Here is a 27,961-nt window from a genome sequence, read left to right on the forward strand (position 1 = left end):
GTCTGGAAGCAGTACTGCCAACCCTGAGACCCACTCAGGGACCCAGCAGGAGACCATTCAGGGACCCAGTGAGACCCATTTCTGCCCCAAGTAGAAGGCCTGCCATCTGCCCACTTGAGTGGAACAAAAAAGCAGCCCTGTGACTTGGCTCCAGCTCTGCTTAACCATGGTTCCAGAAATAGTCCTATTTGCCTCAGGATCCAACAGGAATAACACACACCTATATTCCCACAACAGTCCTGCTTAGACCCAAATGTGGACCAGTAGCAGCCAATTGATCTGACTCCACCCTCACTCAGCTGCCATTCTGGAGTCAGTCCCATCAATCTGGGACCAGTGAGAAAATGTCTGTACTTGCTAAAACCAGTCTGCAAAGACACGGAGAGGTATTTGCTCCTTCAAGTGCAGAGACTGCATAGATCACCAAAGAATCAGGTGAATAAGACACTACAAGAAGAAATTAGTAAAATTTTAGAAATCAATCTCAAATAAAGGAAGATTTACAAATTGACTAACAAAGAAATCAAAACAATTGTTTCAAGAAAGCTCAGTGAACTACAATAGGACTTGAATAGACATTTTTTAAAAGAAGACATACAAATGGCTAACAGGTATATGAAAATGTGCTCAATATCACTAATCACCAGGGAAATGTAAATCAAAACAATAATGACAATATCAAATCTGTTAGAATGGCTATTATCAAAAAGACAAAAGAGGCTGGGCTTGGTGGCTCACACCTGTAATAGTAGCACTTTGGGAAGCCTGGGCAGGTGGATCACTTGAGGCCAGAAGTTCAAGACCAGCCTGGCCAACACAGTGAAACCTCATCTCTACTAAAAATACAAAAATTAGCCAGGCATGGTGGTACAAGCCTGTAATCCCAGCTACTTGGGAGGCTGAGGCAGGAGAATCACTGGAACCCAGGAGGCAGAGGTTGTAGTGAGCTAACACCACTGCACTCCAGCCTGGGTGACAGAGTGAAACTTCATCTCAGAAAATAAATAAATAAATGTGTTGGTGAAAATGTGGGGAAAGAGGAACCCTAGTATACTGTTGACAGGAGTATAAATTGGTACAGTCATTATGGAAAACAATATAGAGATTCCTCAAAAACTTAAAAAGAGAACTACCATACTATCCATCATTTCCATTTCTGGATATATATACAAGGGAAATAAAATCAGTATCTTGAAGTGATATCAGCACCCCCTGGTCCATTGCAACATTATTCACAATAGCCAAAATATAGAAACAACCTAAGTGTTTGTCAAATAAATGGATTTCTAAAGTATACATACACACACACACACAACACACACACACACACACACACGGAATATTATCTAGCCTTAAAAAGAAGAAAATTCTGTCATTTGTGACAATGTAGATAAACTAGGAGGATATTACGTGAAGTGAAATAAGCCAGACACCAAAAGATAAATATTGCAATGTCTCCCTTATATGTGGATTCTAAAAAACTTGAGTTGGCTAGGTGTGGTGACTCATACATGTAATCCCAGAGTGTTGGGAGGCCAAGATGGAAGGATTGCTTAAGGAAAAAAGTAGGAGATCAGCCTAGACAACATAGCAAGACCTAGTCTCCATTAAAAAAAAAAAAATTGCTGGGCATGGTTGCACACACCCTGTAGTCCGAGCTGCTTGGGAGGGTGAGGCAGGAGGATTGCTTGAGCCAGGAGTTAAAGGTTGCAGTGAGTTATGATCATGCCACTGCACTCCCCATCTCTGAAATTTAAAAAATATATAAATAAACAAACAAGTTTAACTCATGTAAGTAGCGATTAGAACACTGTTTGCCAAGAAATGCAATGTAAAAAAATGGAGAGCTGTAAGTAAAAGGGTACAAAAGTTTAGTCATGTGGGATAAATAAGTTCTAGGGATTTAATGTACAACATGGCGACTATAATACTATATAATAACTATAAAATACTGTATTATAGATTTGGAATTTGCTAAAAGAGTTGATCTTAAGTATTCATAGCACAAAAAATAAGAATGTGATGTATACTTCACATATTCAAGTATACTTCAATAAAGACAGAAAAAATAAACAGAAAAAATTCAATAAATCTACACATATATTATTATCATTAATAAGAGGTTTAGTAAATTTGCTGAATAAAATTTATTATACATAAAATAGTCATAATATGCTGAAGACTCTAATGGAAAAGATAGAGGACATGCAAAATCAGGTAATTCTAACAGGGAAATCCAAAATATAATAAAGAATCAAATGAAAATTCAAGAAGGCAAAAATGCAATAACAAAAATAAAGAAGACTTTGCTAGATACCGGGAGACTTGAAACAGTTAAGGGAAAGAATCAGGTAACTTGAGAACAGGTAAACAGAAATGACAAAAACTGACACAGACATGGAAAAACTAGACTGTAAGAAACAGAACACTACATCCAAAAGCTGTTGGATAATACTGAATGGGCATAACATGTGTAATTGTAATCCCAGAAAAAAACAAAAAAAGAAAACATGACAGAAAAAACATTTGAAAAAATAATGACAAAATAAAAACTGTGTCAGGCACAAAATCACAGATTGAAGAAGCACAGAGGACAAGCAGGGCAGATGTCAAGCAAACAAGCAAAAAATCCACCAAAACGTATCAAATTCAAACTAGTGAAATTCAAACAAAGGAAAATTATGAAAGCAGACAGACAAGAAATGTCATTACCTACAGAACATGAGAATTACAGCAGAATTCTTATCAGAAATCCTACAGGCAAAAAGAAGGTAGAGGTGAGGGGCCAAGATGACCAAATAGGAACAGCTCTGCTCTGCAGTTCCCAGTGAGACCAACACAGAAGGCAGGTGATTTCTGCATTTCCAACTGAGGTACCAAATTTATCTCATTGGGACTGGTTAGGTAGCAGTTCCAACCCACAGTGGGCGAGCAGAAGCAGGGTAGGGTGTAGCTTCACCCCAAAATTGCAAGAAGCTGGGAGATCACCCTCCCCCAGGCAAGGGAAGCCATGAGGAACTGTGCTACCCAGCTGGGTTACTATGCTTTTCCCATGGTTTTTGCAATCTGCAGATCAGGAGACTCCCTCATGTACCTACACCACCAGGGCCCTGGGTTTCAAGCACAAAACTGGGCAGCTGTTTGGGCAGACACCAAGTTAGCTGCAGGAGTATTTTTTTGGTACCCCATTGGCACCTGGAACCCCAGCAAGACGGAACTGTTCACTCCCCTGAAAAGGGGACTGAAGCCAGAGAGCCAAGTGGTCTCGTTCAGTGGGTCTCACTACTATGGAGTCCAGCAAGCTAAGAAACACTGGCTTGAAATTTTCGCTGCCAGCATAGCAGTCTGAAGCCAACCTGGGAAGATCAAGTTTGGTGGGGGGAGGTGCGTCTGCCATTACTGAGGATTGAGTAGGCGGTTTTCCCCTGACAGTACTAAGGAGGCTGGGAGGTGTGGACTGGGCGAATTCACCAGAGAGTGGCAAAGCGACTGTGGCCAGTCTGCATCTCTAGATTCTTCCTCATGGGGAAGGGCATCCCTGAAGGAAAGGTAACAGCCCCAGTCAGGGGCTTACAGATAAACTCCCATCTCCCTGGGACAGAGCACCTGGGTGAAGGGGTGGCTGTGGGTGCAGTTCGGTGGATTTATTCATTCCTGCCTGCCAGATCTGAAGAGAGCAGCTGATTCTGACAAGAAGGATTCTTCCAGGACAGTGCACAAGCTCTGCTAAGGGACAGACTACCTCCTCAAGTGGGTTCTCATGCCTCCTGACTGGGTGCACCTCCCAACAGGGGTCAAGAAACACCTCATACAGGAGAGCTCTGGCTGACATCAGTCTGGTGCCCCTCTGGGATGAAGCTCCCAGAGGAATGAGCAGACAGCAATCTCTGCTGTTCTACAGTCTCCACTGGTAATACCCAGGTGGGCAGGGTCTGGAGTGGACCTCCAGCAAACTGCAGCAGACTTACAGAAGAGGGGCCTGACTGTTAGAAGAAAACCTAACGAACAGAAAGCAAAAACATCAACGTGAATATAAAGGACCCCCACAGAAAAACCCCATCCAAAGGTCATCAGCCTCAAAGATCAAAGGTAGATAAATCCATGAAGATGAGGAAAAACCAGGACAAAAACACTGAAAATTCTGAAAACCATGCCTCTTCTCCTCCAAATGATAGCAACTCCTCTCCAGCAAGGGCAAAAAACTTGACAAAGAATGAGATTGATGAATTGACAGAAGTAGGCTTCAGAAGGTGGGTAATAACAAACTCCTCTGAGCTAAAGGAGCATCTAACCCAATGCAAGGAAGCTAAGAAGCTTGATAAAGGTTACAGGAACTGCTAACTACAATAAACAGTTTAGAGAGGAACATAAATGACCTGATGGAGCTAAAAAACACAGCACAAGAACTTTGTGAAGCATACACAAGTATCAATAGCCAAATTGATCAGGCAGAAGAAAATATATCAGAGATTGAACATCAACTTACTGAAATGAGGCATGAAGACAAGATTAGAGAATAAAGAATGAAAAGGAACAAACAAAATCTCCAAGAAATATGGGACTATGTGAAAAGACCAAACCTACGTTTGATTGATATACCTGAAAGTGATGGTGAGAATGGAACCAAGTTGGAAAACACTCTTCAGGATATTATCCAGGAGAATTTCCCCAACATAGCAATACAGGCCAAAATTCGAATTCAGGAAATAGAGAGAACACCACTAATATACTCCTCAAGGATTGCTGGCAAGATGGCCGAATAGGAACATTAACCTTAAATGTAAATGGGCTAAATGCCCCAATTAAAAGACACAGACTGGCACATTGGATAAAGAGTCAAGACCAATCAGTGTGCTGTATTGAGGAGACCCATCTCATGTGCAAAGACACACATAGACTCAAAATAAAGGGATGGAGGAATATTTACCAAGCAAATGAAAAGAAAAAAAAAGAAGAAAAAAAAAAGAAAAAAAAAAAGCAGGGGTTGAAATCCTAGTATCTGATAAAACAGACTTTAAACCAACAAAAATCAAAAGAGGCAAAGAAGGGCATTACACAATAGTAAAGGGATCAGTGCATCAAGAAGAACTAACTATCCTAAATATATATTCACCCAATACAGGAACACCCAGATTCATAAAGCAAGTTCTTAGAGAACTACAAAGAGACTCAGACTCTCACACAATAATAGTGGGAGACTTTAACACCCCATTCTCAATATTAGACAGATCAACAAGACAAAATTAACAAGAATATTCAGGACTTGAACTCACCTCTGGACTAAGCGGACCTAATAGACATCTAAAAAATCTCCACCCCAAATCAACAGAATATACATCATTCTCAAAACATCATGGCACTTATTCTAAAATTGACAACATAAATGGAAGTAAAACACTACTCAGCAAATGCAGAAGAACGGAAATCATAACAAACAGTCTCTCAGACCACAGGGCAATCAAATTAAAACTCAGGATGAAGAAACTCACTAAAAACCACACAACTACATGGAAACTGAACAACCTGCTCTTGAATGATTACTGGGTAAATAATGAAATGAAGGCAGAAATAAAGACGTTCTCTGAAACCAACGAGAACAAAGAAACAACGTACCAGAATCTCTGGGAGACATTTAAGCAGTGTTTAGACAGAAATTTATAACACTAAATGCCCACAAGAGAAATCAGGAAAGCTCTAAAACCAACATCTTAATATCACAATTAAGTGAACTAGAGAAGTAAGAGCAAATAAATTCAAGAGCCAGCAGAAGACAAGAAATAACTAAGATCAGAACAGAACTGAGAGAGATAGAGACATGAAAAACTGTTCAAAAAGTCAATGAATCCAGGCGCTGATTTTTTGAAATGCTCAACAAAATAGATAGACCACTAGCCAGACTAATAAAGAAGAAAAGAGAAAAGAATCAAATAGATGATTAAAAAATGATAAAGGGGATATCACCACAGATCCCACAGAAATACAAACTACCACGAGAGAATACTATAAACACCTCTATGCAAATAAACTAGAAAATCTAGAAGAAATGGATAAATTCCTTGGACACCCTCCCAAGTCTAAACCAGAAAGAAGTCAAATCCCTGAATAGACCAATAACAAGTTCTGAAATTGAGGTAGTAATTAATAGCCTACCAACCAAAAAAAGTCCAGAACCAGACAGATTCACAGCCAAATTCTACCAGAGCTACAAAGAGGAGCTTGTACCATTCCTTCTCAAACTATTTCAAACAATAGAAAAACAGGGAATCCTCCCTAACTCATTTTATGAGGCCAGCATCATCCTGATACCAAAACCTGGCAGAGACACAACTAAAAAGAAAAATTTCAGGCCAATATCCCTGATGAACATTGATGTGAAAATCCTCAATAGAATACTGGGAAACTGAATCCAACAGAAAATCAAAAAGCTTATCCACCATAAAGTTGGCTTCATATCTGGGATGAAAGGCTGGTTCAACATACATAAATCAACAAAATAATCCATCACATAAACAAAACCAATGAAAAAAACCACATGATTATCTCAATAGATGCAGAAAAGGCCTTAGATGAAATTCAACAGCCCTACATGCTAAAAACTCTCAATAAACTAGGTATTGATGGAATGTTTCTCAAAATAATAAGAGTTATTTATGACAAACCCACAGCCAATATCATACTGAATGGGCAAACCTGAAATCATTCTCTATGAAAACTGGCACAAGACAAGGATGCCCTCTCTCACCATTCCTATTCAACAGAGTACTGGAAGTTCTCTGGACAATCAGGGAAGAGAAAGAAATAAATGGTATACAAATAGGAAGACAGGAAGTTAAATTGTCTCTCTTTGCAGATGACATGACTGTATATTTAGAAAGCCCCACCGTCTCAGCCCCAAATCTCCTTAAGCTGATAAGCAACTTCAGCAAATCTCAGAATACAAAATCGATCTGGAAAAATCACAAGCATTCCTATATACCAATAATAGACAAACAGAGAGCCAAATCATGAGTGAACCCCCATTCACAATTGCTACAGAGAGAATAAAATACCTAGGAATACAACTTACATGGGATGTGAAGGACATCTTCAAGGAGAACTACAAAGCACTGCTCAAGGAAATAAGAGAGGACACAAATAAATGGAAAGACATTCCATATTCATGGATAGGAAGAATCAATATCCAGAAAATGGCCATACTATCCAAAGTAATTCATAGAGTCAATGCTTTCCCCATCAAGCTAGCATTGACTTTATTCACAGAATTGGAAAAAACTTCTTTAAACTTCATATGGAACCAAAAGAGAGCCTGTATAGCCAAGACAATCCTAAGCAAAAAGAACAAAGCTGGAGGCATCAAGCTACCTGACTTCAAACTAAACTACAAGGCTACAGTAACCAAAACAGCTTGACACTGGTACCAAAAGAGATATATAGATGAATGGAAGAGAACAGAGGCTTCAGACATAAAACCACACATCTACAACCATCTGATCTTTGACAAACATGACAAAAACAAGCTATGGGGAAAGGATTCCCTATTTATTAAGTGGTGTTAAGAAAACTGGCTAGCCATATGTAGAAAACTGAAAATGGACTCCTTCCTTACACCTTACATAAAAATTAACTAAAGATGGATTAAAGACTTAAACATAAGGCCTAAAAGAATAAAAATTCTAGAAGAAAACCTAGGCAATACCATTCAGCACATAGGCATAAGCAAAAACTTTATGTCTAAAACACCAAAAGCAATGGCAACAAAAGCCAAAATTGACAAATCAGATCTAATTAAACTAAAGAGCTTCTGCACAGCAAGAGAAACTATCATCAGAATTAACAGGCAACCTACAAAATGACAGAAAATTTTTGCAATCTGTCTGTCTGACAATCGGCTAATATGCAGAATCTACAAAGAACTTCAACATATTTACAAGAAAAAAACAACCCCATCAAACAGTGGGACAAGGATATGAACAGACACTTCTCAAAAGAAGACATTTATGCAGCCAGCAAACATGAAAAAAAGCTCATCATCACTGGTCATTAGAGAAATGCAAATTAAAACCACAATGAGATACCATCTCATACCATTTAGAATGGCAATCACTAAAAAGTCAGAAAACAACAGATACTGGAGAGGATGTGGAGAAATAGGAATGCTTTTACACCATTGGTGGGAGTGTAAATTAGTTCAACCATTGTGGAAGACAGTGTGGCGATTCCTCAAGGATCTAGAACCAGATATACCATTTGACCCAGCAATCTCACTACAGGGTATATACCCAAAGGATTATAAATCATTCTACTATAAAGACACATGGACATGTATGTTTACTGCGGCACTATTCATAATAGCAAAGATTTGGAACCAACCCAAATGTCGATGAATGATAGTCTGGATAAAGAAAATGTGGCACATATACACCATGGTATACTATGCAGCCATAAAAAAGAATGACTTCATGTCCTTTGTGGGGACATGGATGAAGCTGAAAACCATAATTCTCAGCAAACTAACACAAAAACAGAAAACCAAACACCACATGTTCTCATTCGTAAGTGGGAGTTGAATGATGAGAACACATGGACACAGGGAAGGAACATCACACACCAGGGCCTGTCAGGGGTGGGGGTCAGGGGAGGGATAGCATTAGGAGAAATACCTAATGTAGGTGATGCGTTGATGTGTGCAGCAAACTACCATGACATGTGTATACCTATGTTACAAAACTGCATGTTCTACACATGTACCCCAGAACTTAAAGTTAAATATAAAAAAAAAAAAGATACTCCTCGAGAAGAGCAACACCAAGACACATAATCGGCAGATTCAACAAGGTTGAAATGGAGAAAAAAATGTTAAGGGCAGCCAAAGAGAAAGGTTGGGTTACCCACAAAGGGAAACCCATCAGACTAACGGCAGATATCTCTGCAGAAACCCTACCAGCCAGAAAAGAGTGGGGTCAATATTCAACATTTTTAAAGAAAAGAATACTCAACCCAGAATTTCATATCCAGCCCTACTAAACTTCATAAGCACAGGAGAAATAAAATCCTTTCCAGACAAGTAAATGCTGAGGTAATTTGTCACCACCAGGCCTGCCTTACAAGATCTTTTGAAGGAAGCAATAAATATGGAAAGGAAAATCTGGTAGCAGCCACTGCAAAAATACACCAAAATATAAAGACCAATGACACTATGCAAAAACCACATCAACTAGTGAGCAAAATAACCAAGTAGGATCATGATAACAGAATCAAATTCACACATAACAATATTAATCTTATATGTAAATGGGCTAAATGCCCCAGTGAAAAGACACAGACTGGCAAATTGGATAAAGAGTCAAGACCCATTGGTGTGCTGTATTCAGGAGACCCATCTCACATGCAATGAGAAGCATAGGCTCAAAATAAAGGGATGGCAGAATATTTACAAAGAAAATGGAAAAAAAAAGCAGGGGTTGCAATCCTAGTTCCTGATAAAACAGACTTTAAACCAACAAAAATGAAAAAAGACAAAGAAGGGCATTAAATAATGGTAAAGTGATCAATGCAACAAGAAGAGCTAACTATACTAAATATCTATGCACCCAATACAGTAGCATCCAGATTCATAAAACTAGTTCTTAGAGACCTTCAAAGGAACTTAGACTCCCACACAATAATAGTGGGAGACATTAACTCTCCACTGTCAATATTAGACAGATCAATGAGACAGAAAATTAACAAGAATGTTCAGGACTTGAATTCAGCTCTAGACTAAGCAGAACTAATAGACATCTACAGAATTCTCCACCCCAAATAAACAGAATATACATTCTTTTCAGTGCCACACAGCACTTATTCTAAAATCAATCACATAATTGGAAGTAACACACTCCTCAGGAAATGCAAAAGAGCAGAAATCATAACAAAGGGTCTCTCAGACCACAGTGCAATCAAATTAGAACTCAGGATTAAGAAACTCACTCAACACTGCACAACTACATAAAAATTGAACCACCTGCTCCTGAGGGACCACTGGGCAAATAACAAAATTATGGCAGATATCAAAAAGTTCTTTGAAACCAATGAGAACAAAGAGACAATGTACCAGAATCTCTGGGACACAGCTAAAGCAGTGTTAAAAGGGAAATTTATATACTAAATGCCCACATGAGAAAGCTGTAAAGATCTAAAATGGACACCCTAACATCACAATTAAAAGAACTAGAGAAGCAAGAGCAAACAAATTCAAATGCTAACAGAAGATAAGAAATAACTAAGATCAGAGCAGAACTGAAGAAGATAAAGACATGAAAAACACTTCAAAAAAATCAATGAATCCAGGCACTGGTTTTTTGAAAATATTAACAAAATAGACAGACTGCTAGCTAGATTAATAAAGAAGAAAAGAGAGAAGAATCAAAGATACAATAAAAAATGATAAAGGGGATATCACCAGTGACCCACAGAAATACAAACTAATATCAGAGAATACTATAAACACCTCTATGCAAATAAACTAGATAATTGAGAAGAAATGGATAAATTCCTGGACACATACACCCTCCCATGACTAAACCAGGAAGAAGTGGAATCCCTGAATACTATAACAAGTTCTGAAATTGAGGCAGTAATTAATAGCCTACCAAACAAAAAAAAAAAAAAGCCCAGGAACAGATGGAATCCCACCAAATTCTACCAAAGGTACAAAGAGGACCTGGTACCATTCTTTCTGAAACTATTCCAAACAATAGAAAAATAGGGATTCCTCTTTAACTCATTTTATGAGGCCAGCATTTTCCTGACACCAAAACCTGGCAGAAACACAACAAAAAAAGAAAATTTCAGGCCAATATCCCTGATGAACATTGAAGTTAAATCCTCAATAAAATACTGGCAAACTGAATACAGCAGCACATCAAAAAGCTTATCTACCACAATCAAGTCAGCTTCATCCCTGGGATGCAAGGCTGGTTTAACATACCCAAATAAATAAACATAATCCATCACATAAACAGAACCAATGACAAAAACCATGTGATTTTCTCAATAGATGCAGAAAAGGCCTTTGATAAAATTGAACATCTCTTCATGCTAAAAGCTCTCCATAAACTAGGTATTGATGGAACATATCTCAAAATAATAAAACCTATTTATGAAAAACCCATAACCAATATCATACTGAATGAGCAAAAGCAACAAGCATTCCCTTTGAAAACTGGCACAAGACAAGGATGCCCTTTCTCACCACTCCTATTTAACATAATATTGGAAGTTCTGCCCAGGGCAATCAGGCAAGAGAAAGAAATAAAGGGTATTCAAATAGTAAGAGAGGAAGTTAAATTATCTGTTTGCAGATGACATGATTGTATATTTAAAAACTCCATTGTCTAAGCCCAAAAACTCCTTAAGCTGATAAGCAACTTCAGCAATGTCTCAGGATATAAAAATCAATGTGGAAAAATAACAAGCATTCCTACATACCAACAATAGACAAGCAGACAGCCAAATCATGAGTGAACTCCCATTTACAATTGCTACAAAAAGAATAAAATTCCTAGGAATACAACTTACAAGGGATGTGAAGGTCCCCTTAAAGCAGAACTACATGCCACTGCTCAAGGAAATAAGAGACAACACAAACAAATGGAAAAACATTCCATGCTCATGGATAGGAAGAATCAACATCATGAAAATGCCATACTGCACAAAGGAATTTATAGATTCAAGGCTATTCCTATCAAGCTACCATTGACTTTCTTTGCACAATGTGAAAAAGCTACATTAAATTTCATATGGAACCAAAAAGAAGCCCATATAGCCAAGAGAATACTAAGCAAAAAGAACAAAGCTGGAGACATCACGCTACCTGACTTCAAACTATACTACAAGTCTGCAGTAACCAAAACAGCATGGTACTGGTACCAAAACAGATATATAGATTAATTGAACAGAACAGAGACCTCAGAAATAACATCACACATCTACAACAATCTGATCCTCAACAAAACTGACAAAAACAAGTAATGGGGAAAGGATTCCCTATTAAATAATGGTGCTGAAATAACTGGCTAGCCATATGCAGAAAATAGAAACTGGACACCTTCCTTACACCTTATACAAAAATTAAGATGGATTAAAGACTTAAATATAAAATCCAAAACCATGAAAATCCTGGAAGAAAACCTAGGCAATACCATTCAGGACACATGCATGGGCAAAGACTTCATGACTAAAACCCCAAAACCAATTTCAACAAAACCCAAAACTGACAAATGGAATCTAATTAAAGAGCTTCTGCATAGCAAAAGAAACTATCATCAGAGTTAACAGGCACCCTACAGAATGGGAGAACATTTTTGCAATCTAACCATCTGACAAAGGTCTAATATCCAGAATTTACAAGGAACTTACACAAATTTACAAGAAAAAAAAACAACACCATCAAAAAGTGGGTGCAGGGTATGAACAGACACTTCTCAAAAGAAGACATTCATGTGGCCAACAAACATATGAAGAAAAGCTCAACATCACTGTTCATTAAAGAAAGGCAAATCAAAACCACAATGAGATACCATCTCACTCCAGTTATAATGGTGATTATTAAAAAGTCAGGAAACGACAGATGCTGGTGAGGCTGTGGAGAAACAGAAACACTTTTACACTGTTGGTCAGAGTGTAAATCAGTTCAATCATTGTGGAAGACAGTGTGGCAATTCCTCAAGGACCTAGAACCAGAAATACCATTTGACTCAGCAATCCCATTAATGGGTATATACCCAAAGGATTATAAATCATTCTATTACACAGATACATGCATACGTTTGTTTATTGCAGCACTATTTACAATAGCAAAGGCTTGGAACCAACCCAAATGCCCTTCAATGATAGACCAAATAAAGAAAATGTGGCACATATACACCATGGAACACTATGCAGCCATAAAAAAGAATGAGTTCATGTCCTTTTCAGGGACATGGGTGAAGCTGGAACCCATCATTCTCAGCAAACTAACACAAGAACAGAAAATCAAATACCATGTGTTCTCATAAGTGGGAGTTGAACAATGAGAATGCATGGACACAGGGAGGAGAACATCACACATCAGGGCTGGTCAGGGGGTGGGGGCCAAGTGGAGGGAAAGCATTAGGACAAATACCTAATACATGTGAGGCTTAAAACCTAGAAGACAGATTGATAGGTGCAGTAAACCACCATGGCACATGTATCCCTATGTAACAAACCTGCACATTATGCCCGCGTATCCTAGAACTTAAAATAAAATAAATAATAAATAAGAAAAATAATTTAAAAAAGAAATTCAAACTATCAAAAAAAAGAAAATAGAGTGATATATTTAAATTATTGAAGGACAAAAAAAGTTAATACAAAATTCTACATAATGTAAAAAAAATCATTCAAAAGTGGAAAGAAATTCTTTCTTAGACAAACAAAACTGAGGGAATTCATTGCCAACAGATCCACCCTACAAAAATACTAAAGGCTGCACACTGACAACATCTATCTTTGACAAAGTTGACAATAACAAGTACTAGAGAAAGAACTTTCTATTCAATAAATGATGCTGGGATAACTGGCTAGCCATATGCAGAAGATTGAATCTGGACTCCTTACCTTCACCGTATACAAAAATCAACTCAAAATAGATTAAAGACCTAAAAATAAGTCATAAACCTCAGAAGGAAATCTAGAAAATACCATTCTGGATACAGGCCTTGGCAAAGATTTCATAATGACATTTCGAAAAGCAATTGCAACAAAACAAAAAATAGACAAGTGAGACCTAAATAAACTGAAGAACTTCTGCACAGCAAATGAAACTTTCAACAGAGTAGACAGACAACCTACAGAATGGGAGAAATATTTGCAAACTATACATCTAACAAAGGTCTAATATCCACCATCTATAAGGAACTTAAACAAATTTACAAGCAAAGAAACCCCAACTCCATTTAAGAAATGTTCAAAGGGCATGAACAGATACTCCTCAAAATAAGACATACAAGTGGCCAACAAGCATATGAAACAAGGCTCAACATCACTAATCATCAGAGTAATGCAAATCAAAACCACAATGAGATACTATCTCACACCAGTCAGAATGGCTATTATTAAAAATTAAGAAAATAACAGATCTTAGTGAGGTCGCAAAGAAAAGGAAATGCTTATCCAATGCTGGTGGGTATGTAAATTAGTCTAGCCACTGTGGAAAGTGGTTTGGAGATTTCTCAAAGAACATAAAACAGAACTGCCACTTGACTCAGCAATGGCATTATTGGGTATATTCCCAAAGGAATATAAATAATTATACCAAAGAGACACATGCACCCATATGTTCACTGAAGCACTATTTACAACAGCAAAGACATAGAATCAACCTAGATGTCCATAAATGGTGGAATCAATAAAGAAAATGTGGTACATATACACTACAGAATACTATGCAGCCACAAAACCCCTTGAAATCATGGCCTTTGCAGCAACGTGGATGTAGCTAGAGGCCATTATCCAAAGTGAATTAGTGCACAAACCGAAAACCAAATAGAGCATATTCTCACTTATAAGAGGGAGCTAAACATTGAGTATGCATGGACGCAAAGATGGGAACAATGTACACTGGGGCCTACTTGAGTGGGGAGGCTGGGAAGAGAGCAGTAGTCAAAAAACTACCTATACTGTACTATGCTCACTACCTGGGTGACAAAATCATTTATACACCAAACTCTAGTGGCTCCCAATTTACCCATGTAACAAAGCTGCACGTGTATCCTCAAACCTAAAATAAAAGTTGAAAAAGAAAAAAAAAGCAATAAAGCTATTGTAAATATATTCAAAGAACTAATAAAAACCATGTTTAAAAATTAAAGGTATGACAAAGGGAATCACTAAATACAGGACAATAAAAAAAGAAATTATTACAAAAATTGAAATTCTAAAGTTGAAAATGACAGTAACTAAGGTGCTTAACAGCTGATTTGAGTAGGCAAAGCAAGAACCAGCCAAATTTTATATAGATCAATAAAAGTTCTCTAATCTGAATAATAGAAAAAGGAATTTAAAAAATGAACAGAGCCTTCAAGACCTGATTAAGTGTGCCATCATACATTTAATGGGAGTCTCAGGAGAAGATAGAGAGAAATTGAGTAGGAAAAAAAATAATTGAACAAATAATGGTTGAAAATTTCCCATGAACTCCAAGTAAGATAAGCACAAAGAGGTTCACATCTAGACATATGTTACACTGTTCAAAGGCAAAGTAAAAACCTTGAAAGCAACAAGAGGAAAACTACTCAATATGTACAAGGCAACCACAATATAATCCAAAATTGACCTGTCATCAGAAGTAATTGAGGCCAGGAGGGAATGGAATGACATACCCAAAGCACTAGAAAAAAAAGTCAGCCAAATATCCTATATCCAGCAAATCTATTCTTCAAAAAAATGTAGGCAATATAAATACATGTACAATAAGCAAAGAAAGAGAATTTGTTGCTAGAAGACTTACAAGAAATACCAAAGAAAATTCTTCAGGAAGAAAGGAAATGACATTAGATAGTAATTCAAATTTACATTTAAACAGCAACAACAACAACAAAGATCACCTGTAGAGGTAATTATAGTGATAAGTATAAAAGATGGTATAAGTATATATTTTTTCTTTATCTCTCTCATGTGATTCAAAAGAAAATTACATAAAATAACGATTATAATATTTTATTGTTGGACTGATAACATATAAAGATATATATAACAACAATAAAACAAAAGAATAATGAGGGAATGAAGCTTATTGGAGTAAAAAAAAAAAAAAAAAAAAGACTCCCAAAGCCAACTTGTATCTACAGGTAGAAAGAGTAGTAAAAATTGTTAATACTTAGATTAATAGATAGGACTCATAAAGTGTTTTCTTCTTAATGTCTTTGAAAGATATTAAATTTGTGTAAAGCAAAAATTAAAAGTATATTATTTAATTAAACACAAATTTATACATAATACATGACAATAATAGCACAAAAAATGGTATGAGGCAATGGAATTATATTGGCACAAAGTTTTTACATTTTACTGAAATTGAGTTGGCATCAATATGAAATAGACTGTGATATGGTAAAATGCATATCTTAATCCCTAGAGGAACCATGAAGAAAACACCACCAAAGATAGTTTAAAAATACACAAATAAATTAAAATGGTGCATTAGGAAGATAGTAAATCCAAAAGAACAAAGTAAAGGAGCAATAAACAAAAAAACACGAGACGTATTGAAAACAAAAAGCAGGCAGAAATCGAACCATATCAATATTAATATTAAATTTGATGGATTAAAGCCTCCAATAAAAATTCAGCAAATGTGAGACTCAATTTAAAAATAAAAGATCCAATGGTATGCTGCCTACAGGAGATACATTTTAGGTTCAAAGATACAAATAATGTTAAAGAAAAGGATGGGAAACTGATGAAAACAGTAACAATAACAAAGCTGGAGTATGTATACTAAAATAAAAATATGAGCTTTAAGACCAACTGTATTACTAGATATAAATAAATGTATTTTATAATAATTAAATGATCAATTCATTGGAAAATATAAATATATCTTCACCTAGCAAGAGCACCCAATACTACATGAAGTAAAAACTAACAAAATTGAAGAAAGAAATGGAAGATTCAACAATAATAGCTGGAGACTTCAATGCCCCAATCTCAGTAATGGACAAAAAAATAGAGACAGAAATTCTACAAGGATATAAAAGATTTGCATAGCAATATAAAGTAGACATAAATGATATTTTCAGAATACTCCAACCAATAGCAGCAGAATATATATTCTTCCCAAATGCATGTAAAACCTTCTAAAAATTAAACAATATGATAGGTCATAAGAAAGTCTCAATAAATTTTAAGGGGTCCATATTATATAACTTTTATGCTCTGAAGCCATACTGGAATTAACTTAGAAATTTTGGCAATCTTCAAATATCTGGAAGTTAAACAAATTTATAATAACCTATAGGGCAAAGAAAAATCATCAGAGAAATTAGCAAAAATTTCGAGCTGGGTATAAAGAAAAATGCAACATGGAAAAATGTATCAGAGATAGCTAAATCAGTCCCTAGAAGGAAATAAATGAGTACATATATTTGTCCATTTTCACATTGCTATAAAGACATACCCAAGACTGAGTAATTTATAAAGGAAAGAGGTTTAATTGACTCAGTTCCACATGGCTGGCAAGGCCTTGGGAAACTTACAATCATGGTGGAAGAGGAAGCAGACATGTCTTACATGGTAGCAGGTGAGAGAATAAGAAAAAGGGGGAAGAGCCCCTCATAAAACCATCAGATCTCCTGAGAACTCACTCACTATCAGAAGAACAGCATGGGTGAAACGACCCCGATGATCCAATCACCTCTCACCAGGTGATCCTCCCTCAACACCAGGGGATTACAATTTGAGATGAGATTTGGGTGGGAACACAGAGCCAAACCATATCAGTATATATATATATATATATACATAAAATATATGAAAGATCTCAAATCAATAACCTCAGTTTCAGCCTTAATAAACTAGAAAAAGAAGAGCAAACTTAACCCAAAGCAAGCAGAAGAAAGAAAAGAATAAAGACTACTCTATGTAGTAGTCCATTTTGCATTGCTATATAGGGAATACCTGAGACTGGGTAATTTATATAGAAAAGAGTTTTATTTGGCTTACACTTCTCCAGATTGTACATGCATAACACCAGCATCTGCTTGGTTTCTGGTGAGGCTATGGGAAGCTTTTACTAATGATGGAAGGTAAAGGCGCAGCAAGCATTTCACATGGTGAGAGAGGGAGCAAGAGTGAGAGCAAGAGGTGCCAGGCCCTTTTAAACAACCAGCTCTTGCATGAATAGATACAGCAAGAACTCACTCATTACTGTGGGGAGAGCAGCACGTCATTAATGAGGGATCTACCCTCATGACACAAACACCTCCTGCCAAGCCTCACCTCCAAAATTGAGGATTATATTTCAGCATGAGATTTGAAGGGGACAAACAACAAAACTATACACTGGACAAATCAAAGGAATCGGTAACAAAAATAATACAGAAAATCAGTGAAACCAACAGTTGATTTTGTGAAAAGATACACGTTAATGGGAAAACCAAACCCTGTAAAATATTTTAAGAAGGTTTATTTAGAGCTAATATGAATGACCAAGACCTGGGGAACAGATTCAAGCGGTGCCTGAGGTGATCAGGTTACAGTTTGGTTTTATAGATTTTAGGGAGACAGGAATTTTATGTAAGATCATAAATTAATCCATGGAAGGTGTACATTAGTACAGCCTAAAGAGGGAGGATATCTTGAAGTGGAGGCTCAGGAGTCATGGGTGGTTTCAAAGATTTTCTGATTGACAATTGGTTGAAAGAGTTTAACTTTTTTAAAAAACTTGAAGTCAGTAGAAATAAATGCTTGAGTTAAGATAAGAAGGGTTATGGAGGCCAAAGCTCTTGTTATGTAGATGAAGTCTCCAGGTAGCACCCTTCAGAGAGAATAGATGGTAAATGTCTTTTTTCAGACCTTAATGGTGTCAGACTCTCATCTAATCTCTCCTAGATCTTGGAAAGATCTAGAAAGGAAGCCTCAGCTGCATTAATGGAGGTTCTGTACAGATGCAAATTTCCCTAACAAGAGATGGTTTTGCAGGACCATTTCAAAATACATCAAAGAAATATACTTTAGGGTCAAATATTTTTATTTTTTAAGGATATGCCGTCATGTGATGTTACATCAGAATCAGGTTGGAATTTGGTAACTTATTGCCACAAAGAGTGTTTTGTCAGTCTTATGATCTCTAGTTCAATGTTAATGCTGGTCAGTAGTGCCTAATCTTCAAAATGATGGGGTGTAATGAGGCATGTCTGACCTCCCTTTCTGTCATTGTTGGTCAGTTTTTCAGGTTTCTCTGGGGTCCCCTGGCCAAAAGGTGGTCTGTTCATTGGGTTGGGGGACTTAGGATTTTATTCTTGGTTTATATGAATGAAATAGAAAAATCTATGGCTAGGCAGTACAAGTAAAAAAAAAGAGAACACAAAATTACTAAATTTATAATGAACAAGGGGACATAACTACCTACTAACCTTACAGAATTTTTAAAAAAATTACAAGAAAAACTATAAAACATTTTAGGCCAACTAATTAGACAATTTATATGAAATAAATTCCTAGAAAGACAAAAATACTGAAACTGACTTAAGAAGAAATAGAAAATCTCAATAGAACTATTACAAGTAAAAAGAATAAATTAGTAATAAAAAAAATACCCCACAATGAAAAGCCCAGGCCTGCTGAATTCTATCAAACGTTTAAAGAAGAAAAATAACAATACTTCACAGTTTCTCCCAGGAAATAGAGAAAACAGGGAAAGTCCTCAGTCTGATAACACAGCCAAACCAACATCACAAGGAAAAAAAATATATAGACCAATTAGAATTTATCCCAGAATTTTGCAAAACAATGTGCAACTTCAACATTGTGAGGTTGATGACATTCTCAAATTGATCTACAGATTCAAAGCAATTCCTATCAAAATTCCAGCTGGTTTTTTAAAAAGAAACTGATGACATGACCCTAAAATTTACATGAAAATGCAAAGACTCAGGATAGCCAAAATAATATTGAAAAAGAGTAAATTTGATGGACTTAAATGTTCTAATTAAAACCTTCCTATAAAGCTACAATATTCAAGATGATTTGGTGCTGGCATGAAGATAGACGTAGAGAAAAATTGACTAGAATTAAGAGTCCCAAAATAAACCCAAACATTAATGGTCAGTTTTCAACAAAGATATTGAAGCAGCCTCATCGAATGGGGTGACATCTGACGTTCTTGGTCTCATGGCCACAGAGATCAAGGATGCAGACACACACAAAGGGTGAGGTTTAGAGCAGAATTTTAATGGGCGAAAGAAATTTGTCCACCACAGAAAGGGTTCCCAGAAAAATGGATTGCCAACGTGCAGTGAAATGCAAGGGTTTTTATAGATGAGCTAGTTGGGAGGCAGTATCTGATCGACATAGGACCTGAAAAACCGTTTAGGACCATATGTGCCATCTGCATAGGGTGCAAATCTCTGGCAGCCCTAACCCCAATCTTTTACTATGCAGGTGGGTCCTCTGCCTGAGCTACTCCATGTTGCTTATTTCTTTCTTACTGTGCACATGCTAACAAAAAAGGGAAGGTGGAGACCCCATGGTGGACATGCCTGGCCCCAGGTAGCCCTTTCTATAATATAGGTACAGCTGCTGGCATCCCCTGTGCAAGCTTCCAGCTTCCTTATCTATGTTTGCAGCACGATCTTCCAGGCTTCCCTTTGTCAGAAAAGAAATGATTTCTCGGGCTGCTTTTTGTTGGAAAAGAAGTTCTGCTGAGGACACTCTTTTGCCCTTGCTATTTGCCTAAATAATTTCTTTTTATCTCCTGTATCAATATCAAGGCAATTCAATGAAAACAGGACAGTCTTCAGTAAATGGTGCTAGAATAATTTCATAACCACAATGCAAAAATATAAATTTAGACCCTTACTTAATACCATACACAAAAAATTAATTCAGAATGAATCACAGACCTGAATATTAGAGTTAAAACAAGAAAACTCGGCCGGGCACAGTGGCTCACGCCTGTAATCCCAGCACTTTGGGAGGCCAAGGCAGGGGGATCACGAGGTCAGGAGATCAAGACCATCCTGGCTAACATGGTGAAACCCCATCTCTACTAAAAATACAAAAAAAAAATTAGCTGGGCAGGGTGGTGGGTGCCTGTAGTCCCAGCTACTTGGGAGGCTAAGGCAGGAGAATGGTGTGAACCCGGGAGGCGGACCTTGCAGTGAGCCGAGATCGTGCCACTGCACTCCAGCCTGGGTGACAGAGCAAGACTCTGTCTCAAAAATAAATAAATAAATAAATAAAACTCTTAGAAGAAAACATAAGAGCAAATATTTGTGATAATGGGTTAGCCAAAAATTCCTTAGGTATGTCATCAGAAGCATAAGTGATTAAAAATTGATGAATTGATCAAAATTTAAAACTTTTCCATTCTAAAGATATCATTAACCATGAGAAAAGGCAAGCCAAAGACTGGGACAAAATACTTGTACATCATATATGTAATAAAGGACTTCTATCTAGGATGCATAAAGAACATTTATAAATCCATAAGAAGACAAATAGCCCAATTTTTTAAAGGGCAAAGAAGCTGTGCACAATTTTTTTATAGCAGTTTATTCATAACATCTGAAGCCTGAAAACAACACATGCCTTTTAGTGGGTGAATAGCTAAACAAATTGTGGTAAATCTATACTGTGGAATATTACACAGCAATAAAAATAACCACTGATACACACAATAACTTGGATGATTCTCAGTGTAAGTATGCTGAGTGAAAAAAATCTAAGCCCCCAAAATTACATATAGTATAACACAATTTACATAATGTAAGGAGGAGGGTAAGAAGTATTATGAAAATATAACAGGAGGGATCCTTATGGTGATGTAATTGTTCTGTATCGACTGTAGTGATGGTCATAAGAACCTATACCTCTGATAAAATTGCACAGAGCTAAATGGACACACACACAGACACAAATGAGTACATCTATGATGGAAAATCTGAATAAAACAGATGGATTGTATCAATGTCAATTTTGCGGTTGTTAAATCTGCATAACAATAGTTATGCAAGATGTTGCTATTGGGGGATACTAAGTAAAGTGTAAACAGGATCTCTCTGTATTATTTTTTACACCTACATATGAATCTACAAGTATTTCAAAAAGAGCTTTATTTTAAAATGGGGCTAAAGATTTGGGTAGACATTTCATCACAGAAGCTATACAAACAGACAACAGGTACATGAAAAGATGTTCATCGCTAGTCATTAGGGAAATGCAAAGTAAAACCATGATGCACACCCATAAGAATAGTTATAATAAAAAAGACAATAACAAGTGTTGGAGAGGATGTGAAAAAAGTGAAGCTCTCCTGCATTGCTTGTGGGAATGTAAATTGATGAAGTCTCTTTGGAAAAATAGCTTGGCAGTTTCTTAATAAGTTCAACATCATCTTAGCATATGACTCAGGAATTCCACTCATAGGTTATCTATCCAAGAGAAATTAAAACCTATGTTCAAACAGAAGCATGTGTGTAAATGTTCGTAGCGGCATTTTCATAACATTCAAAATGTGGCAGCAACCCATATGTCATCAACTGGTAAGTGGATAAACAAAATGCAATTTATCCCAACAATGGAATGTTATTCATCAATTAAAAGGAATAAAGTACTGATACATGAAACAACATTGATGAACCACAAAAACATTATATGCTACGTGAAAGAAGCTAGACACAAAGAGCACACAGTGTATGATCCCATTTATTTAAATGTCCATTAAACAAATCTGTAGAAAAGAAGGTAGATTAATGCTTACCAAGTGTTGGGGATGAATGGGGAATGGCTGAAAAATGGGACAGAGATTTCTTTTGGGGATGATGTAAATGTTTTAGTTTGTAGTGACAGTTGCACAACTGTGACTAAAATCAATAAATTGAATGCTTTAATAAATAAATAAAATAAAGCTGTCTTTAAAAGGTTACAATTCTTTTCAGCTGTTTAAGGTTGAAACCCTCTCAGATGGTTAATGATCTCATGCCTCAGGTCTCTATTAATTATATGGGAGAAATACCCCCATACCCCACTTAGCAAGTTAGGCATAATGTTACATGACCTGCTTTCTTCTCCATCTACTCCTCGATTTACTATTCTTAATACTAAGGTATCATTTAGAAACCATGGTGTTACTCGTGTTTACTGACAATAGATAAACAAAATGTATTTTTCTTCAGCTTGCTTAATTCCAAATTCTCCTATATTTAAGCAAAACAAATTACCTTTGGAATCACATATGACTTTTAATCACAACATATAAGCCAGAAAACAGATGGACAGATTTGACTACACTTGTGTGTTTAGCCAAGTATAGCACTTCCCTGAATGTTTGGTCTTTTTGACATCTGACTAAACATGAGGGGCCTCTTTCTATTTTAACAGATTTTCCCCATCCCTTTCCTTCCTTCTCATTCTTCAAGGCCATAATTTCTCCACTTTTACCATAGTTCCAATATCTTACTTGCACTCATTACAAAGTCCACCCCCTACTCCTTTCCCTTCCTGTACTTCAAATAGCCTTTCCTAGCCTAATCTTGAGTGTGAGGAGAAACTACCATTTAAGCAGTAGTCAGTGAAATACTTTTCCCTCTAGACACAGACTTAGTGGACCTTCGTGGATAAGATATTTGGAAAAATTTTAAATGTCATTTACAGTTTTTTTTTTTTGCCTCTTGAAAGAGAAGAACTGTTGCAAAGTATTAATTTTGATCTTAACTCTGACACATTTATTAACACCCCAAAAAAGCAAAGATATATATGTCTTGCCAGAAGGCTATACAAAATATTTTAAGGTTCTATCTTCTATAATTCCTGGCTAGTAGATACAGTTATCTAAACTACAAAAAGTTATAATTTGTTGCTTATTGATAATGTTATGACTTTTTTTTTTTTTTTTTTGAGACGGAGTCTCGCTCTGTCGCCCAGGCGGGACTGCGGACTGCAGTGGCGCAATCTCGGCTCACTGCAAGCTCCGCTTCCCGGGTTCACGCCATTCTCCTGCCTCAGCCTCCCGAGTAGCTGGGACTACAGGCGCCCGCCACCGCGCCCGGCTAATTTTTTTTGTATTTTTAGTAGAGACGGGGTTTCACCTTGTTAGCCAGGATGGTCTCGATCTCCGACTTATTTTTAAAGTTCCCTAAATAAACCAACTTTTGAATAAAAATGGGCTTTTCATTTTAATAACACATACTCCTTGATGATAATGGTTTGATTCATTTCTCTTACAGAACTAATTTCTTCCTACTTCACACACATTAAATGCTTTGTTTATACTGATAATGTCGTGCTCATCCTAAATTAAAGTTTGACTATGTCTGTTTCCCCAGAGACACACCATCTGATTGGGATGCAGCCGTAGAGTAGCAGAAAGAGCAGTGAAGCTGGTATTAGAATGCCTGGATTACAGTGTTTGTTCTGTTACTTAGCAGCTGTGTGACTTTACTGTCTTAATGATATGGATTTTTGTGCTGCTGCCAAGTATGAAACAGTTTGGCACACTATTTAGATACGCAAAATATGTGATCCCCACAACATTTTAGTGAGTGTAAAGAAGATAGGATAGACCATTTAAAATGGAAAATTTTGAACAAAAGGTCACCATAGACTTGAATAAATTACTTAAACTTCTGAGACCCACTTTTGTCATGTAATAAAATAGATATAATGATACTTACCTCTCAGGATTAAGGGTTAACTGAAATATTGTATGTGAGGGTCTAGCTCAGTGTCTGGAAAATGGATGATGTTAATTAAGGTTTCCTTAGGTTGGAATGCTCCTTTCACCCCCTCCATCCGCCCCCTCCCCCAAAAAACACTCCAAAATTCAAACATGCATATTCTGATTCATCTTTTAAGGAAGAGCCCAAGAGGCACCATTCTACAAAATCTTTCCAAACAACTTCAGGCAGTACAGCCCTTTGGTTAAGAGTACTGGGCTTCTGGAATCAGAAGAGACCACCAAATTTAAAACCAGGTCTCCCATTTAGTAGCTCCCTGACACTGGACAAATTACTTATTTTCTCTGCACCTAGATTTCCCATCTGTAATATAAAATCATCATGATACATACCTCATAGGGTTGCAGAGGATTAAATGAGATATACATACAGAGCACTTAGCACAGTCCCTGAGTTAATAAGTCCTCCGTTAAGTATTACATAGGAGAAGTAGTAAAAAGTTTCCTCTTAAGTAAAATGCTAATAAAAGTGCTTACCCTGCCTCCCAAGATTGTGGCAAAGTTATGACGCAAGGCTTTTAAACTGTAATGCTGAACAAACGTAAGGGATTGGTATATACCTTGAGATATTTTGGACAAAGTTCTAACCTTACTTTTATACAATATGCTTTCTCTCACCCGCCTGCAGTTGGGTTAATAATGCCCAGCATTAATTAATAAGCAATAAAATCAGAAGATACCCCGAATACAAGTAGCTGACGCTCAGAGAGCAGTATTAAGGCGAGCACCCGCAGACCGGACCTGGATAACTCCTTGGAGTTCACCTCTAGCGGCCCCCTCCCCTTGGAGCTGCGCAAGCGTACACTGACTTTGCTCCTCTCTAGTGCCCCCGCCTCCAGCAGCCGCCCCCCCACCCCCCCGTCTGCCCAACACGCAGGCGCGTCTCCTCAAATCCTGTCCCTACACCCCTCCTCTTTCTCTTCATTTCGTTCCCCCTCCTCTTGCAGCACCTCGGCAGGTTCAAACTCTTCTCCGGGAGCGTGGCGGCGATCGCGAGGTCACGTGATGAGCATCCTGCTGCCCAACATGGCGGAGTTCGACACCATCTCGGAACTGGAGGAGGAGGAGGAAGAAGAAGCGGCAACGTCGTCGTCGTCGCCGTCGTCGTCGTCGTCGGTATCTGGGCCCGACGATGACGAGGAGGATGAGGAGGAAGAGGAGGAAGAGGAGGAGGAGGAAGAAGAGGAGGAGGAGGAAGAGGAGGAGGAAGCGCCGCCCCCGCCTCGGGTAGTGAGCGAGGAGCATCTGCGGAGATATGCTCCCGACCCTGTATTAGTGCGGGGTGCCGGCCACATCACTGTGTAAGCGAGAGGGGGTCTTGGGACTTGAAATGCCTGAGATTTGGCAACAGAGGAATGAGAAGTGATCGAGGGGCCTGTGGAGTGGGGGAGGGTTGACTGATTGACTGAGGCGTACACTTAGGAAAGGACACCTGGTCTAAATGGGGAAACCATGGGTGGATACGTGTGAAGGAAGTGAGGAGAATGTAAATATGATGCACCAATGCCAGGTAAAGAGTGAGTATAGGAGAGGGAAGTTAGGGGTTTGGGAGCCAGAGCGATTGGAGTAGGGGTGAGTCTCCTTTCTTGTATGTATGCTGGCAAGTGAACAGTCTCTAAACTGCAGGATGTACCAGAGGGTTTTTTGCTGACAAGATTGATACTTTGTGGGAAACAGCAATTGCTGTGACATGTGACAAGAACTAGGCTTGCATTCTTCAAAACAGAAACATGATATATTTTGTGAATAATAATAGAATGTTCATTCACCCACGTATTCATCCATCCATTCTTCCTATCGAATCCTTCCTTATATATCACTCGATTAGAGGTTCAGGATGAGAGGCAGCTATGGAAAGTAGAAAAAGAAATGGATTGAGTCAGGGCTCTTAGACGCTGGTCCCGGTTTTGCTTCTTACTGGCCCTGTGACCTTGGTCAGGTTGCTTTTTCTCATTTCTGCGCCTTGATTTCTTCATCTCTAAAATGAAGGGTTTGGAGTAGATGGTTTCTAAAGCTTTTCAGTTCTGAGATAATTTACCTCCAAGGGATTTTGTATGCCCAAGTATGAAATATACAGGCATTAAATATATATGGAAATTAATACTTTGGGAGCTGAGCATAATTTCTTTAAAATTTATCCAGGGTGGTTTTTTAAAAAATTGAAATCTTGAGGAAAAATTGAATATTTCAGAAAATAAAATGGGGAGGGACTTCATAACAGCTACAAGGCAAAAATGTTGATGATTCTCCGGGATTTAAAGAGTGCTTCCTCATTTTTATTTGCTTGGACCATAACTATTTGGAAGTTTGAGTACTGTGTCATGTTCATCCTCTGAACTATGCTATCTTTTACTGCATTTTCAAAATAGGTTGCCTTTTGTTGTTATGTCATGCTGCCTCTGGTTTTGATAATGGCTCACCTAGTCCCTTTGACTTTCAATTGAGTTCATGTTACATTAAATCATATATATGCTACCTCCCTTATATTAGCTTCAATTTTTAACATGTTGAGTTTTTTTTTTTTTTTTTTTTTTTGAGACAGAGTCTCACTCTTTTGCCCAGGCTGGAGTGCAGTGGCGCAATCTTGGCTCACTGCAGCCTCTGCCTCCCAGGTTCAAGCAATTCTCCTGCCTCAGCCTCCTGAGTAGCTGGGACTACAGGCGTGATATGTTGAGTATTTTAATTGTAATATACTTTCGTAATCTTTGCATCAAATATATTAACAAATATTTTGAAATTGGGGAAGTGTTGGGGGAGGGTTTTAGAGCTGCTTTTTGATTAGGAAATTTTAAGACAATTTTTCTTGGTCCAAGAATTTTGCAGATAGCCTACAATATTCAGATGCCAACTTATTGCACGGTTTTACTTCCATTCCTTTTGTCACTAGGGAGACAATTTATTACTCAAACTAATTATGATGGCTGGTACCAAAGGTTACTTTTATGCAGATTATGTTACATGACCGTTTAGTCCATAATTTTATACTCCAACATTCCACCTCCACATTTGCAAAATTCAGGCAAAGGAGAAGGAACAAGAAAATAAAATTTAAGTTACCTGAAATTTATTTATGGTTCCATTCGACCCTGCACAGGTACTTACCAACCTATTTGCTTCATTAGAAGAACACTGACACTTGCCATGCCCAGGCCCTTCTGATTGGTATAATGTCCTTCTAATTAGGAGCATGCGGGTAGTACTGTTGGTATTCATTGACTGAAACCAAAACCTGAAAAGAAGCAAACCAGTACTAGACTCACTAACCATTGTATATACTTTGGAAACTTATTTAGTTTTGTTGTACACATTCTTATACCTAGAAATCACATATGATATTAAATGTCTTGGGATTTGAAAGAGATTACATGTCTTGGAGAAAATTTAACTGGATCTGAGAAATGGGTCTTTGTATGGTAGTGAAGCCTTCCTTTTATCAGTTAAAGTAATATCCTTATGAAGTAGGTAATCTTATTCTGCGACTTCTAAAATATCAACTTCTGTTTA

General features: G+C 37.5%; 1 protein-coding gene and 1 pseudogene across 6 annotated transcripts in view, besides 2 other annotated features; one reads left to right on the top strand and one right to left on the bottom strand.

Moving 5' to 3' along the window:
- The window catches only part of MAP2K4P1 (mitogen-activated protein kinase kinase 4 pseudogene 1), a 38,811-nt pseudogene extending 13,548 nt beyond the window's left edge, over positions 1–25,263 (bottom strand). Inside the window, exon 1 of the transcript NR_029423.1 lies at positions 25,138–25,263. The product of NR_029423.1 is annotated as a mitogen-activated protein kinase kinase 4 pseudogene 1 (transcript). The remainder of the gene's footprint in view (positions 1–25,137) is intronic.
- Positions 18,288–18,927: an enhancer, noted in NCBI's record as "OCT4-NANOG hESC enhancer chrX:72775946-72776585 (GRCh37/hg19 assembly coordinates)". NCBI's record gives its function as "activates a minimal SCP1, AML or CMV promoter by ChIP-STARR-seq in primed H9 embryonic stem cells {active_cell/tissue: H9 hESC(primed)}" and the evidence as "EXISTENCE:reporter gene assay evidence [ECO:0000049][PMID:30033119]".
- Positions 25,295–25,354: a silencer, noted in NCBI's record as "silent region_20905". NCBI's record gives its function as "represses an Ori minimal core promoter by ATAC-STARR-seq in GM12878 lymphoblastoid cells {active_cell/tissue: GM12878}" and the evidence as "EXISTENCE:reporter gene assay evidence [ECO:0000049][PMID:35858748]".
- CHIC1 (cysteine rich hydrophobic domain 1) overlaps positions 25,326–27,961 on the top strand; it is a 123,964-nt gene continuing 121,328 nt past the window's right edge. For 4 of the 5 annotated variants that reach the window (XR_001755699.2, NM_001300884.1, XM_017029582.2 and 1 more), the window contains exon 1: positions 25,326–25,758. Coding sequence is in view for 4 of the 5 variants with exons in the window: in NM_001300884.1 (NP_001287813.1) it covers positions 25,463–25,758 (296 nt within the window). In the remaining variant the exon portion in view is untranslated. The remainder of the gene's footprint in view (positions 25,759–27,961) is intronic. The other variant, NM_001039840.4, reaches the window with a different exon arrangement.

This window comes from Homo sapiens, chromosome X (assembly GCF_000001405.40).
Source record: "Homo sapiens chromosome X, GRCh38.p14 Primary Assembly".
Taxonomy (NCBI): domain Eukaryota; kingdom Metazoa; phylum Chordata; class Mammalia; order Primates; family Hominidae; genus Homo; species Homo sapiens.